This window comes from Homo sapiens, chromosome 4 (genome assembly GCF_000001405.40).
Source record: "Homo sapiens chromosome 4, GRCh38.p14 Primary Assembly".
Taxonomy (NCBI): Eukaryota; Metazoa; Chordata; class Mammalia; order Primates; family Hominidae; genus Homo; species Homo sapiens.
In genome coordinates, this window is record NC_000004.12 from 69009961 (window position 1) to 69027724 (window position 17764).

Sequence of the window (17764 nt, forward strand, 5' to 3'; positions counted from 1 at the left end):
GACCTAAGGCATCTGGTTTATTCCCATCAAATCTCCAAAGAACCTGTTACAGTAAAGAGAATATCTTATTCCACGAGTGGAACTCAAAAGTTATAAAATGTTAGAACTGTAAAAAGAGTAGAAATGAGATCAAGGGATGATAGTAAATAAATCTATTCAAAGACCGCTGTAAAAAGAATACCCACAGTTTATTTTCTGAACTTTAATGATTTAGGTATATAAGAAACCATTATTTTCCAAAATAATACCTTAGAAAAATAAGATTATCAATGAAAAGTTCAAGTATTTAGAAAATTGTTATGTTTTTTAAAAGAAGAACTACCTGCGGCTAACCATCATATGAAGAAAAAAAGTTGAACATCACACATCATTAGAGAAATTCAAATCAAAACCACAATGAGATAACATCGCACACCGGTCAGAATGGCCATTATTAAAAACTCAAAAAATATCATGATGTTGGCAAGGTTGTATGGAAAAGGAATTCTTATACTCTGTTGGTTGGAATGTAAGTTAGTTCAATCATTGTGGAAGACAGTGTGATGATTACTCAAAAACCTAGAGACAAAAATACCATGAAACCCAGCAATCCCATTACTGGGTATATAACCAAAGGACTATAACTTGTTCTTTCATAAAGATCCATGAAAGTGCATGTTAGTTGCACTACTATTCACAATAGCAAGGACATGAAATCAACCTAAATGACCATCAATTATGGACTGAATAAAGAAAATATGGTATATATGCACTACAGAATATTATGCAGCCATAAAAAGAACAAAAATATGTATTTTGCAGGGATAAGGATTGAGCTGGTGGCCATTAGCCTTAGCAAACTAACATAGGAATTGAAATCCAAGTGTAACATGTCCTCACTTATGAGTGGAAGCTAAAAGATGAGAACACATGTACACATAGACGGCAACAACATACACTGAGATGTGTTGGAGGGTGGAGGATGGGAGGAAAGAGAGGATCAGGAAAAATAATAAACGAATATTAGTCTTAATACCTGGGTGATGAAACAATCTGTACAACAAACCCCCATGACACAAGTTTACCTATGTAAAAAACCTGCACATGTACTCCTGAACTTAAAATAGAAGTTAAAAATAAAGGTTAAATTAATTTAATTTAAAAAATAAAAATATTCTAAAAAAAGTATAAAAAATTATAGGGAGTCATTGCAATTCTGGTGTAAAAAAACAGTAACAATTTAGTAATGACCTATATGTTTATTTTGTTTTATGTATTTTATATTAGTTTTCATCTCCAAATTTAATTGTAATGTATTCGTTTCTTTTTGAGTAATATGAGTAGTTCCAATATATCTACTTGTCTGTAGGTTATTATATTAGAGCCTGTTGTCCTTTGATTGACAAAATAGCAAGTCTATAAAATAAGCTACTTACAAGAAATAAATAAATGCTGCAAGGGTTTTATGTATAACTTCGTTGGAATTACAAATTATCAAGCACTACTTCCAAGAAAAATTTCAAGTGACAATTTTTGACACAAATTCAGAGTATTACCAACCAGTATTGCTAATTTTGGATTTTTTTGGCATAGAAATGAGGAACATGTTGGTATCATGAATAAAAATAAAGCTTTTCAATAACCTCAAAATTGTATTTTGCTGAATTTGGTCAACAGATTATTAACACTTAGACAAGGTGCTACAAAGCTTTGACAACAGTGATTAATATGTTCTTCTATAGCCAAGACATTTTTATGTTTAAGTTACTAATTTTGAAACTCCAAAGCAATCCTCATAAACTGAACAATAATTTTCAGTGTTTAATTTTATTTGCTACATGAGTGTTAATGTAACTCAGGTTTAAGCAAAATTTAGAGGCCATTACAAGAAAGCTTTATCAGATAAGAAATTAAAAAGTAATTGACAGATACACAAAGGTCACTGGTTTATTCTATATAGAAGAAAATATATTCCTACTATGTTCTATGGAGGGGGCATCTGAACCTGTTCCCCTGCCTGGCTTCCTTCTGTTTGTCTCCTTCCTATATTTCCTTCTGCTGCGTCCATTGGGAGGGGTTGTTAATCTGGTAATTAGTGCTGAGTCCTTGTGGGGCCACATTTTATACTGGACAGGATCCACCTTCAGGTCAGGATCCATCTCCATCCTTTCCCTTTCATCTTCCTGCTTCAGATATTGGCTGGGCCCAGTCCAGCAGGGCAAGCTGCTTTTCCTCTTTCTCTAAATCTACCTGGTTGTGTGGGTACTTGGACTAGTTGTCTGTTGGCCTAGGCCACTCTTTCTCTGAATAGTAGCCTGAAATATCATTCAGATAGGCCTATTCCAAAATGTAGAGGAAGTACCTGAGGCTGGATAACATGGCAAGCCTCAACTGCATGATGCATGTCAGACTTTTTGAAATACCTGCTATTGTTATTTTGCTAGTGAAGTCACCCATTAAAACATAACTTTTTCTGATAACATCTGTAGTGTGTACAGTGCAGTGCCATCAGGAATTCTTAAACAAAAGGGTCAAATGACAGGGGCAGAATTTGGTGATAACTCTTACCTGATCCCAATAACATGATAATATCGATACTTCACCTACATTTCTTAAATAAATTTATTCCTGGTCATATTATTAATGCCAAATTTATTATAAATGAAAAACAGCCTCTATTATTATAGCATCGTCCATGTATATTTTTGATTTTGAACTAATATCTGAGATAATTAGTTCTTTCCCAAAAGCTAAATTTTTAGGCCTGAACTTTCTTATTTGTCATATTCATAAAGTTTATTTTAAAAAATTGTTTAAAACTTACCATACAGGAATATTTATTAATATACTTAAAAAGTTTGTTCCCTATGCTGAAGTAAAATACATTAGTGACATCTTCCAGGCACCATGTTTATAAAAGTAAAACTTCTAAGTCCTGAAATATACTACAGTAGAGTCTATAGTTTACTAGTTTACTTTTTTTGAGGCAGAGTCTGGCCCTGTAGCCCAGGCTGGAGTGCAGTGGTGCGATCTTGCCTCATTGCAACCTCCACCTCCTCGGTTCAAGCGATTCTCCTGCCTCAGTCTCCTGAATAGCTGGGGTTACAGGCACACACCACCACTCCTGCCTAATTTTTTGTATCTTTAGTAGAGATGGGGTTTCACCATATCGTTCAGGGTGATCTCGACCTCCTGACCTCGTGATCCGCCTGCCTTGGCCTCCCAAAGTGCTGGGATTACAGGTGCAAACCACCGTGCCCAGCCTATAGTTGACACTTTTAATCACAGGATTAGAATTCATTCTTTTTACTCCCCTACTCTCCACACGTGCCAGTTATTATTCCTATATTAATGACATTCGATCATGTATACTACCACAGATCCTTAAATAGAGTATATACTGCATAATGACCACCAGAGCCAGTCTTCTCTATTTGTTGCCACGTATTTCATATAAGCATTTGACTTAAAGTACAAACAAAAATACTACATTCCTTAATTGTAAACATTCACCAAGGGCTTCCAGAGTACAAGTAATAGAGGTGGCCCAAGTGTTAGTCAAGTGTTCTTCACCCATTGGATACTGCTGAGATTAGGAAAACTCTTTTGAAGAAAATTATCATAAATCTTACTTGTATTTCTACAAGGATGCAGTTGTGGATATATATTTTTAGTTGAAAATACCTGAAAGTCATTCTAAAGACTACATTAAGCACCATTTTCACTTAACTGAAATATATTGAGTTAAATTCAGCAGTAGGTATGACTGTTAATATCAGAAATTAAAAATAACTGTGGGTCTCAAGCTCCCTTTTGTGGATACATATGGAGTACTGAGTTCCCACTGATGCTAATAGGAATCACTCATGCATACCAAGGGTAGTAACTACCCCAGGGCCACATGTAATCACTAAGTCTGAGGCACAACTATTACTTCTGTCAGTGGATGCTATACAAGCATATTTAAGGCTGTATTCGCCTATAAAGAGTTCAATCTACTCTTTAATATTCTTTCTATGTAGATCACAAACTTTAACAGCCTCTTTCAGTAGTTTTCCACACCAGTAAGGCACTTTATCTTACCTTTTGTGGGATCTTGGCAAGGGCTGTTGCAATTACATTGGCCCTTTCTGCTGTCATGTTACTGACCATTGACCCCAGAGAAAACACCACAGCACCATATTCTCCAGAGCTCTGTACAAACTCCTCCATTTGCTGTGGAAAAAAAAATGTTTCATCACAAAAGAGTATCACCACAGCAGGCACTACTGAAAGAATTGGTACAAAATATCAAAGAGAGAAAATCCAGTATTTTGAGGAATTATTGGAGTAAATAATATTTTTTAACTGACTCAATCACTGTTTCTTTGCAAGAAGATGTATGAGATAGTTGGCCTCTGTTAAGGATATTTGTGTAAATATGTGTGTGTATGTAGGTATGTGTCTGTATGTGTGTAATGGAGAAAATAAATGGAACTATTACATTGTAGTCAGGGAGATAATGTTAAAAAATATACCCAGACCCTTCACTTATAATACTATAATTACTAATATAAGTTCTTGGAAAAGTGGCACCACTAGGGTTTAATTCTATATTTTTGTTCTACTAAATCACTTGTGTTTATTTCAGGCAGGTTTTCTGTAGAATTCTTTTAGTTTGAAGCCATTAGTGGTTTACTTCCCTAACTATGAGCACTGAGGAAAAGCTACTTACAGTTGGGATAATTTTATATCTACATTTACATTACTCTGCAATGCTTTATGCTTCACTTAAAATTTGTCAGTTTTCCGGTAGTTTTTCAAAAAATGAAATAAAAAATAAAAGTTGGTGGTTAAGAATCACTGACATTCTGGAGTCTAGTATTGTGATCTGGAATTTTTATGAATCAGTCCTTAGAGTCTCATTTATAATACAGAATTGTACAGTTTGTAGTTAGTAGTTGAATAACTGTATTTTTCAGGTTATTGTTCAGGTGGAACACCTATTGCCCTGAAATCACACTGTTAAATTGATGTGCTATTTCTAACTGCATGTGAGGAACTCTCATCATCACTTTGTTGTGTCTCAGAGGCAGCACTGGCACCAGAATAGAAGAGGCCACCAGGCCTTTCTGCAGGGGGATCTTGTCTCTCTTTTGAGTAGCTCACGCACACCACATTACACTCCTGGTGAAGATGTGCTTGGCTGCAACTGATTGAGAATTACTCTGACTTGAGTTCCCCAATGTATACCAATATATAAATTTAAATACTTTCAGATTTAATCATTGGGGTAAAACTTTTCCAAATGGTTTTTAACAAAACAAAGAAAAAAGTGTCTAAATATTAACTGTGCACCACATATTATAGAGCTTTTTCTAAAATATGATTTTTAATCTTAAGTTAACATGATAGTCCCTGTACTATTCCACATAATACTTGGGGCATCTAGGTATTGTGTGTGATTGCAGTTACCTGTAGCCACATTTAATGTAACTCGTGTTCAGTGTTTCACCTCACTAGCTTGATGCCAGAGCCTTATTTTTCTGTGCAGTGTTGAAGGAATCTAACCTCTGTGTAGAGATTCCTCACTGATATTGACTGGTTGTTTCTCCTTTTGTGATAATATTATAAAAATAATACAAAATTAATGTAATAAATTTTATAAAAGTATGAAAAGATTTTTTAAAATAGTTTTTTCTAAAATTTCTATCTAGAGATATTATTTATAGAAAATATGTATTATTTTATTATGGATTTTGTCCTATTTATATAGGTCAATGTACAGATGTGACACTTATTTAGAAAATTTTAATCTTATTGTATATACATTTTCTCCTGCAAAAACTTACCATCTTGTTATATTTATCATTTTCTAATTCACTGTATTTGTATTATGGCTGACAGCGTAATTGAACATTTCATTGATAAAATTATTTTAGTGCTATCATAGGCACATAAGTTTTTAATCATTATTTCATATAAGATGTTGGATTACTTCCAATGTTAATTTTGTGAATATTTTCCATAATGTTTCATAGGTACATCTTGATTAATTTTTTAATTTCACATGACTATATTATAAAATTAATAACAATATGTATTTTTAAAACACCTGATACATTTCATCAAGGGTCTTATTCTCTTAAAATATATAGAAATTATCTGAGAATTTAATATATAATTGAAAAGAAAGCAACCTGGGTTAGCAAATATTTTACATAATAAACAATTAAAGAACTGGTTTCACAACCATTGACTTGCATTCAAAGCTTTCTGCAAGTTAATAACAAGAGCTAGTATTAGTAATTACCACTAATGTACTACCAGTCAACCTTTTTTTCTTGTCCTTCTACACATGCTACTCTCTTCCTCCTTCTACTGGCACTATCAGTTTCCCTTAGTGTGAGTGGGGAAATCTTTCAAGAGTAGGGTAGAGTGGTATATATTTTTCATTAGTCTTACCTCATCGTTTGACTCTTGAGAAACTGACTATATAAAGCCCATACAATTTGCATTAAACATAGATACTGAGTTTTAACAATGGAATAAAATCTCAGTTTTATGCAAGCAAAAATGATCTTTTAAGAGATTGCATAATAATGCATTGAAGAAGCCTTCTTTGTACATATGTCTTAAAATGTGATGTTAATTTAAAATATATGAGGTTCTTCTATTCCTTCAAAAAGAATATAATCTTATACGCTGACGGAATTTTTTTTTCATATTGAAACTAAGGGCACTATTCAGACACAAGTGGTAGAAATTATTTGGTCTTTATTATACATGCATTGTTCATTATCTCTGTGCATCTCTGTCAGTCACCTATGATGTCAAGACGAGTTCCCCCAGGAAGCCTTACTGAGTTGCCTGTCATAAGGCAGAAATCATCTGCTCTAATAGGGTATGTTTATGCTCTAAAATGTGAAATTCTGGGATCTCAATGCAGAATGATTTAAATGCTTTATTAAAATCACGTGAACCCTGTGTTTGCACATATTTGAGGCATACATTTATATTGTTGAGGAAGTGTTTTAAGCTGGAATGCTGGTGAAGATCCTATTACTTATGGAAGAATTTTAGAATTTCAACTAGCTTATCTTACTGTCACAACTGGTATGTCTACTATTAATCAAGTCCACAGGGTATCTGTCATCTATGACTTTGCAAGAGAATATAACCTTGATGTGCTGAATAATCTGGTTCTCTTAAATGAGGAATGATATCTCAAGTGACTTTCACATGTTTAGTAGTTAGTAGTATTAGTAATAATCACAAAATAATCATAATTGCAAAATTAACAACATTTCTGAGTCACTGACTATGTGCCAGAGACATTTTAAGTGTTTTGTCTGTGTTAATATTTTTTCCACACAACACAATATGAAGTTGGCACTATTTGTGTAAATGTGGGCATAATTATTTCTATCAACAATCTAGTCCGCTTTTCCATCATCTGCTACCTGAATTCATGGAAAATTTCCTGAATGTTTGGGTCTTTACAGTGTGGCCCTTCTGCAATTTAATCCATTGAATATCTTGGAGCCTTTTCTTAAAAAGAGAATCATTTCATATATCCTTATTTCTTAACTCTTTTTTTGGACTTTTTCAATGTTCTTAATAAATATTTCAACTCCTAATACGTATCTGGCTCTAATTTACCTCTTAGCATTGTCTGATTCTTAATCATTCCCTGCAAACTAAACCTGAGGACTTGAGAACTGTCCTGACCACTTTATCTGCTTTCCCTTTTTGTCTGCCTCTCCCCGTCATTCTTTTCCCTATTCCTGCTTATTGTTCAGCTCTCATCGTACTCATCAGTGACTCCAGGATACTTTCTATTATCTCCACTGATGCTTTCTTAGCATTGGGTTTTTCCTTGAGAAAATAATTTTTATATACTTTTCATTACTTACTTATATTCTATATTTCAAAGTAGAATGTAAGGTATGTAGGGACAGAAAACTGTGTCTATTTTTTTTCTCTGAAAATTCTGCACTTACCTGTGTTTTGTGCTAATCTCTTTATAAATATTCTTTGAATGAATGACCAATGCCTTCTTAGATGTTGCATAATCAAGACTTTAATTTAACCAACCCTATTTTCAAAGTTTCCTTAGTATTCCTATTTGTAATATGCATAAAACTCACATGCTTATGATGGTATCAACATGTACATGAGTTTCTAATTGGTATCTGCTTTACCCCACCTACTTCCCATCTTTTTTCAATGTAAACCAAACACTCTGAATGAAGGCTATAGAGTCATTTCTACTGAAACTTTGAAGCCAACAAAATAAAACCAACGAAAGTATGTTTACCTTAGGTAGGGGTTTGGCAGGTTTGCAGTGGAGTCCTCCAACAAAATCAACGTTTGGTAAGAATGGATGAGGAAATTTAAAATTCCAGGAGTTTCGCATAAGCCATATGTCAGCTTTTCCCATTGTCTCAGATAAGGTAGTGGGTCTTCCTGATATGAATAAAGAAAAGAAAAAGTGGATGACATAAGATAATTACTTTATGTAATTTTCTGAAAGGAGTTAGAATAATGTAGGCAAAAATGTAGGTAAAGTTTGTATGCTTTGAAAAATATATACATATAGGAATAATTTATTTTTTATGTATTCTATATTTTGCCCATGTTTATTTATAAGAAAGGCAAAGTGGTGGGAGAATTGTGAGGTTAAGCTACATCTCTAATGTCATGTCAGTATACTCACAATTATTAAAATAAGTCATAGAGAATTAAACATCAATTTATTTTCTCTTTAAAACTTTAATAGTAGCCTCTAGATATTTAAAAAAATCTTTGAGCTCCATAATCAATTAATTCTACTGTAACCATAAAAAAATTTTCTAACTAATAGTCTAGTTTACACAAATCATTAAGCTAATCCTTTTATCTTTGGTTCTTCAAGTTAACCGTGGACTATTTTGAGTATGGCTGAAATCATTGTACCAACTACTCATTTGGATTCAAGCTAACTTCTTAATAATATTAAGTAAAGATATTTATAAATTATAGCTAGAAATTTTTGAGAAATTATTGAAACAAATCTGTACTCAACCTTAATCTGTCTCATATTTTTAAATAAAGAGACACAGTTTCAAATAAACTATATAGATAAGACAACTTTCACACTTCAACGAGATGATTGGACTTTAAATAAATGATTTCCAATTCTTTAGTGAAGGAGTATAGAAACATTTGAAACTTCAAATTACCCTCATTGATTTTTGCATCTGAGATATAGACATTATCTCTCTCTACTGTGAAGACAACCTCCTGATAACATGGGAACATCTTTTAATTTCTAAATAAGACAACTGAGGTTTACAAGGAAAATTTTTTGCAGTTATATAGATAGTTGTAGAAAGATGTGTAATTACTCATTCTAAATCTATGCATTTGGTTAGATGTTACTTGATGGATCTTGCTGTTTTTAAGGTCTGAAACATTCTATGATAAAACAGATGTGTAATTGCTTAAAGTCTTAGGTGTACTAATATATAGGTATATGATTTCCTGGGGTGTTGTGTATGAGTGATGGTCACAGCATTTTCACTGACCCTATAATTTAAGCTTTTCTATAATATTTGTGAGATTGATAGACCATCTTGTATTTTCATTTCATAAATTCACTTACCAAAAACTCCACTTCCTTGACTTTATGGCTTTGTACAAGTTCTGCTTCAAAGACACAAAGAAGTTAGAGCTTCATGTTACTGATTGAAAAAATTCTTACCTAAAACTTCACTGTAAAAGTGATCCCACTTCTTCATATCAAATATTTGGTACCAAAAGTCAAAATAAAGCACATAGAGCACATTTTTTACCCTCTCCATGAAAGTCATTTGATCACTTAATTTTGACATAACAACAGGTACGTAGGAAGGAGGGAAAATAAATCCTCCACTGTGCCTTTCAAATGAGTAGCCAGGAGTGAAGCTGTGACTGTACACAAAGGGTATGTTAAATAGCGCAGCCAGCAGCTCACCACAGGGTAAATAAGCATCTGCAAAAACGATGTCAAATCTTGACTCTTGTAGTTTTTTCATAAGTTTCTTATTTGAAACTACATCTTTACAGAAGTTTCTAATTATGTTATTATATGCCCACATGATTTCTTGTTCTTGTGAAAAATATAACCAAAATGTATCTTTTGGAATGTTGCATCGTGATATTCTCCAACTCAGTTTTAGTTAAAGATGTAGGATAAACTTCGAGTTTAAGAGTGGATGAGTCATTGGGATCAAAAAGAATGGAAGCTGAAGATGCCAGTACAGTCACCTCATGACCTCTCTGAACAAGTTCTTTCAGGATTGTCTTCATATTCATCCAAGGGCTGTACTCTGCGGCCCACACCAGCACCTTTCCACAACTCCCAGAGCTAAAGTAACAACTGAGTTGTATCAGCAGAAGAACTGAAGTTTGAGTTCCTTTCAGAGCCATCCTGGTGCAATGTGATAATTCTTTTCCAGTCACTGTTTCTTTCTCATACTTATATACAGAGAAAAATCAATCAAGTTAAAACATAACTCCTTCAATTCAAAGTAAATACATTATATGAGCATCCTGAGTACATGGATGGCAAGGAGACAAAGTTCGATTACTTCATATTTACTCAAGAATGTTTGATGTTTCTTTTATGTTTATATTTGCTGTCATCCACCTAAGTTTAATGACCTTGCAAGTATCCTGTTTTATATAATGTATTTTGTAATAGTGTCAAGAACAGTGGCAAGTGAGAGAGTCCTGCAGGCCCCTTGACACAGAATAAGAGATGAAGTAATTATACAATGCAAATAGAATTTTTGAATATCGTGGTTCAAGGAATATCTTGTAAAACTTTGTTGAAGTATAATTCACTTACCATATGATTCATCAATTATTATATAAAATTAAATATTTCCAAGTAAGTTCACAGACTTGTGCATCCAACATAACAATCAGTTTTATCTAAAAAAAGTCCTGTATATTAAATATCATCTCCCCACCTGAATTTCTGCATCCACCCTGCACTGGGCAACCAATAATCTAATTTCTGCCTCTACAAATATGCTTATTCAGGATCTTTTTAAAAATAAATGAAACTATATAATATGTGGTCTTTTGTGGCTGGCTTCTTCTATTTAGTTTAATGTTTTTAAAGGACCATCCATAGAATAGTGTATATAAGGATTTCATTTTTATTTCCAAATAGTATCAGATGCTACTTATAACCACAAATTATTTATTCATTCATCAGTGGATGGACATTGATTTTCTTGCACTTTTGGCCATTATGCATAGCGTTGATATTTTTATTGCCAAATAGTATCAGATGCTACTTATAAACACAATTTATTTATTCATTTATCAGTGGATGGACATTGATTTTCTTCCACTTTTGGCCGTTATGAATAGCATTGATTAACATTGATGTACATGCTTTCTTTGGGCATGTTTTTATTTTTCTTGGGTATATGTCTAGAAAGGCAATTATTGAATTGTGTGGTAAATATATGTGTAACCTTTTGAGGAATTGCTGGACTTTTTCACAGTGGGTGAATAATTTTCTATTCTCAACCAACAATGTTTGAGGGTTTCAGTGTCTCCACCAACTTGCCAAACCTTGTCTTTCAAATAACAAAAAAGGTTATTTTTTATTTTAATTCATAAACACACTCTAACAGACACAAAGAAAGGAAAGTTTCCTTCCACATATTGGAGGAAAAGTGAATAAATTAAACACTAACTTACCTAATACTTCACTGTAAAACTGATTCCACTTCTTTTTGTTAAAAGTCTCAAATGCAAAGTCAAAATGAAGAAAATGGAAAAGATTTTTCACCTTTCTATAAATGTATTTTGGTACTAAGTTCTGATATGACAACAGTTACATCAGAAGGAGGTAATGAAAGTCTTCCACAGAGTTCTTGGTACATACTGCCAGTTGTAAATGGATGATAGTAGACCAAATGTATAAGAAATGTTTAACAGATTAAGCTGTTCAGATAGCAGCTCACTAATGAGAAATGACATCTGCAAGAATGACATAAATTCTGGAATCTTGTTGTTCCTTGTAAGTTTCTTGTTCAAAACAGCATACTCACAGAGCTTTTGAACAGTATCAGAACATTCATAATATGTGTTTTTTGCATCTTTGAATCATATGCCAACAATGTACTCTTTGGGAACTTGTATGTCCACATCTTGATCAATTTCATAAAAATGAAATCAAGTTCATTCTCAGTAAAAGATGTGGGATAAACCTCAAATTTAACAGCAAATTGTTGGAATCAATGAGGATGGAAGCTGAAGGTGACAAGCACAGTTACCTCATGGTGTTTCTGAGCAAGTTCATCAAGTATCATTATTAAATTGATATAAAGACTGTATTTCACTGGCCACACCAGCACATTCTCATGGGACTCAGAGCTGGAATACAACGGTCAGCATAAGAAACAAAAAAGCCCATTTCTTAGACAACTGTTAAAATGCTATCTTTCTTTATAACTTTCCCTAACTTGGTACATATCAATGTCAATCAATGTCATAATGATTTAAGTGTTGACAATAGAGGTTTTGGAAAGCAAGAGAATAAAGAAAAGGATGAATGATTTTGTGTTTGTATGTGTGAATAATAAATTTCAGTCTTATTGTAAATGTGGCTGTCTCCAGAACAAGAGATAATTTAGTTGTATATAAAGAGTTTCTAGTATAAGAAAGCATCATTCTGTCAACAATGAGGCAGTGATGTGATCTATTCTTATTTATCTAAACATTCTCAAATAGACCATCTTCATTTTCTCTATATAGTTTCACACTTATTATATTAGCTTCATTTCATGTTCCTTGACATTGTTTTTCTGACAGTAGAAATTCCTTTTATTTTTATCCAAACAGATATGTTTTAAGTACAATTACAGTTACTTTGCTTCATTTGAAAATATTTTGTCTAAATCACAATATTTTCCTTTTCTGAATATTTGCAACATTGCTTAGTTTCTCAGTCTTAGAAAGTATTTATCTTCTAAACGCCTACTACTGAACTTGTTTCACAGATTGCCTTGTAATTCAGGTAAGTTCTACTTTAAAAAGTCTCACCAGAAATTTACATCAAAGTAGAATTAGGAAGGAAAAGATGCATGTCACAAAATAGAGAAATTTGTTTTTATTCTATTAATAATCTGTTAACCTGAAATGAAGTAAATCTTTCTTAAAAGGATTTTTGAACACAGTTTGTGAGCAAATATTGCCAGCAGAGTGGCAATATTGCTCAATATTTTTAATGTCCTTGAGTGCATGCATTATGTGTCACCCAGATTTCCCTTTTGGTAATATAGAAATTACTTTCCAGCTGATGAAGTGATTAAACACTGACATACCTCACCTATAAGCTCTCTCTCAGTACATCTCTGCTGAAAGCTATCTAGCATGTAGTGACTTTTCCAACACAGCCCATATCCAATGCCTGGTCACGTGTAGGACTCTAAAGGCCCATTCTCCTCATTTCAATTTGGACCAACTCTGAAGGGCTAACCACAAGCCTCCTCACCTAGAAAGCAAGCAGACTCAGTTTTTCAGCATCTCAGGGAGCCTGCAGTGGTGATCCAGTTCCTTCAGAGAGTCTGTGAATTTTCTCAGCTTTCCTGGTGTGTTCCTGCTGTAATCCTTGGAGAAACAGTTCATGACATGAGTCCCAACACACTGCTCTATCCATTCGAGTAGAAGCTGCAAACTAGTTCTGCCTCCTTTTCATCATCTTAATCGTATACATCTGTAGCAACCTTCTATGTCATTTTTCTATCTTTGTTGGTTTAAAGTCTGTCTAGTAAGAAGTTAGAATTGCAACTGCTGCTTTTTTTTTTTTTTCATTTTCTTGTTAGATTATTTTCCATTGGTTTATTTTGAGCCTATATATGTCACTGCAGGTGAGATGGGTTTCTTGAACACAGCATATCAATGGTTCTTGGTTCTATAATCAGCTTGCCCTTCAGTGTCTTTTGATAGGGGCATTAAGCCCATGTGTATTTAAGGTTAATATTGATATGTGTGGACTTGATCCTGTCATAATGATGTTATCAAGCAATTTTGCAGACTTGTTTATGTGCTTGCTTCACAGTGTCACTAGTATGTGTACTTCAGTATGCTTTTGTAAAGGCTGGTAACGCTCTTTCCCCACCCCCCACCCCCCCGATATTCAGTGCTTCCTTCAGAAATTTTTGCAAGGCAGGTCTGGTGGTAACCAATTTCTTCAGCTGTTGCTTGTCTGAAAAGGTTCTTATTTTGCTTATGAAGTTTTATTAGGCTGGATATGAAATTCTAGATTGCAATTTCTTTTCTATAAGAATGTTGAATATTGGCCACCAATCTCTCCTGGCTTCCGGGATTTCAGTTGAGAAGTCCATTGTTAGTCTGATGAGCTTCCCATTGTAGGTAATTTGGCCTTTCTCTCTAGCTGTCTTTTACATGTTTTTTTTTTATTTTGACTTTGGAGAATCTGATAATTATTTGTCTTGAGGATGAGCTTCTCATTGATTATCTCACTGGGGTTTTCTGCATTTCTAAATTTGGCCTCTCTAGCTAGATTGGAAAAGTTCTCATGAATGATATCCTGAAATATACTTTCCAGGTTGATTTCATTGTCTCCATCTGTTTCAGATACACCAAATACTCATAGACTCATTCTTTTCACATAATCTCATATTTCCTGGAGGTTTTGTTCATTCATTTTTATTCTTTTTTCTATATTATTGCCTGCCTGTCTTATTTCATGAAGCCTGTCTTAAAGCTCTCATAATTTTTTTTTCAGTTGGTTTATTTTGCTATTATTTTTCAATTTTTATTTGTGATTGCATTATAAAAGTCTTGTGGTGTTCTTTTCAACTCTATGAGGTCAGTTACATTTTCTCTTTACAGGCTACTTTGTTAGCTTCTGCAATGTTTTATTATTATTTTTAGCTTTCTTGCATTAGGTTACAATATACTCATTTAGCACAGTAAACTTTGTTTATATCCCTGTTTTGAATTTTACTTCTGTCATTTCAGCCATCTTAGCCTCAGCCCAGTTCTAAACCCTTGCTGGAGAGATGATGCTGTAATTTGGATGAAAAAATGCACTCTGTCTTTTTGAGTTTTCACTGTTCTTGCACTGATTCTCTCTTATTTTTGTGGGCTTATCTGCCTTCAATTTTTGAGGTTGCTGGCCTTTGGATTTTTTTTTCTTTTATTCTATTTGATTGCCTTGAAGGTTTGTTTGTGATATAAGGTGGATTCAGCCAACTGACATTGTTTGTAGAGGGGGCAGAGTTCAGTTCCCAACTCCTGGACCGTATGCTTTAACTCTGATGGACTTGCATTGAGCCCCAGCTTTGTTCTCTGGCTTTTCAAGGCTTTAAGTCTACTGCACTAAGGTGATGAAGGTGCAACAAGTGCAGCAGAGTGCTAGTGAGTGCAGGAGTGTCTGCCTCTTTCTGAGTGTTCACAACAGTGGCAGAAGCAAAGCAGTTGGAAGGGGAATGGAAGACCCCTGCTGGAGACTGTGTGACGTTACATGGGAGGTGGTGTTTGTTTAGGGTGGGGTGATTGCCAGCACAAGTCTGGGTGCCTTCTCTGTGCCCTGCAAGCAGAAGTGATCACTCAGGGTATGGAAGGATCCCCTGTCCTCTATGCAGCATCAGAAAAAGGTGGGCACTGGCTTGACAGGGATTTCTGGTTCTGTGCCCATCAAAGCTCTCTTTGCAATGCTGCAAAGGCTATCAGTGTGATTTGAGTGAATGTGATGGGGGGTCATGGAGGGATGCACTGCACTCCTGTGTGCTGGTGGGTCAAGTACAGCAAAATCCACCCATGCAGACATGCACTCAGCAAAGTGGTGTGAGGAGTTTCTCAGGGGAGAGGCTCAGTCGAAGCTGCAGTATGGGAAGGAACATGCAGACTGGTACACAGTTGTAGGGACTGCGTCACTGGAACTCTCTGTCAGTCAGGCCTGGTCCTCTGTTGCAGAAACTATGGTGTGTTTCTGGCTGCCCTGTAAGTAGGCATGGCAAGGCTGGGGCCCCAGTTGAGGGTAGAAGATCAAGGAGTCTCAAATCAGACCAGCCTCATCTGATGTGCAGGATCACCATGCAGGGATCAGGTCTGACTGTTACCCAAGGGCTAGGGTCTCTTATTCATGAAAGTTGAACTTACAGAGATGGCCACACTGCTACAGATTCTCCTGCACCCACTGCTCTGGGATCCACATCAGTTGGCTTGCTGCTTTGCTACTTTGTTTGTTCCTGTGGCTTCATCTCAGAGAGATGCAAGCCAGCAATGGCTCAGTGTCTTTGCTCCTTTGTTTGTCCAAGGGAGTCAAGGAAAGTTTCACTGCAGATGCAGTGGCTGAGAGGCTTTCTGTTGCCCCAGTGGCTCTCTCCAAGGAGTTGCCAATTTGCTACTAGCTGGATAGATTGGGCAGGTGTTGGCTAGAGACCCAGGCCTGGAAGATCTGCATGATGAGGACATACAGGAGCAGGCAACCACATTACACTCTGATCATTTTTCTGTAGGGCTGCTGTGTTATGCTAGGGGCCACTCCAGTCACTATTCACCTCAGATTTTTTAGTACCTGGAGGTATCACCAGTGAAGGCTGAGAAACAGGAAAGACGGCAGCCTGCCCTTTTCTCTGGTAGCTCCATCCCAGGGAGATATGGACCTGTTTCTGCCACAAACATACCTCTAAGAGGTGGCTGGAGACCCCACTTGGGAGATCTGACCCCTAGTCAGAAGGAATGGTATCAGGGACCTGCTTAAGGTAGTCTAGCCACATTTTCATAAAGCAGCTGTGCTTTGCTGGGGGTACACTTCAGCCCTCGGTTGCCTCAGACACTCCAAAGCTAGAAGGCTGGAATGGCTAAGTTGCCCAAACAGCAAAGATGTCAGCCTGCCCTGCCCCCTTGGGTCTCTTTACCAGGGATGCCTGGAACCTCTGTCAGCTTGTGAATACCAGTGATGGTAGCCAAAAATCCCCGTTGGGAGTCTCCACCCAGTAATGAGGACGAGGGTCAGGAACTCAATTAAAAAAGCAGTCTGGCCCCATTTTTATATGGCTGCTGTGCTGTTCTGGTGTATCATTTTCACCCCAGTCAGAATGGGTTCTTCAAAGCTTACAGACTGGAATTGATAAGTCACTCAAACAGCAAAGATGCCGGCCCATAACTCTCTCTGGGAGCTCTGTCACAGGGAGTTTTCAAATCTCTGTAGACACAAGAACACTGGTGGGAGTGGTTGGAGTCCCCTGTTGGGAAGTCCCACCCAGTGAGGAGGAACAGGATCTGGTACCTGCTTAAAGAAGCAGTCTGGCCATGTTTTTATAGAGCAGATGTGCAGCAACTGGGGAATTCCTTCCACTAAATGTACATTTGGACTCTCCAAAGCTCGAAGGGCAGGACAGCTAACTTGCACAAACAGCAAAAATGGCAGCCTGCACTGCACACCATGCCTCAGTTGAAGGTGCTGTGTGGTATATAAATTATATGTAAACAAAATATACAAAAAATTATTTGAACCATGTTTTGTTATTTTATCTTTAGTTCTGTGTCAAACAAAATGCACAAACATGGACCTCTCATGACTATGTTTCTGGAAACTTTTCTAAAATAAATTACATAAGACAAGTGATGTGTCCATACAAGAACATTGATATTAGCTCAAAGATAGCACTTATAAACATAAAGGGACATTAAACACACTTGTGTAAATAGATCATCTACCTTCATTTATCTCCTTGCCATCTACATGCTCAGACTGTTAATCTAATGATAATATATTTCCTTTGAA

General features: G+C 35.5%; 2 pseudogenes; both read right to left on the bottom strand.

Annotated features, from left to right (window-relative positions):
• Positions 9701-10436, bottom strand: UGT2B27P (UDP glucuronosyltransferase family 2 member B27, pseudogene; annotated as a pseudogene).
• Positions 11696-12380, bottom strand: LOC100422020 (UDP glucuronosyltransferase family 2 member B7 pseudogene; annotated as a pseudogene).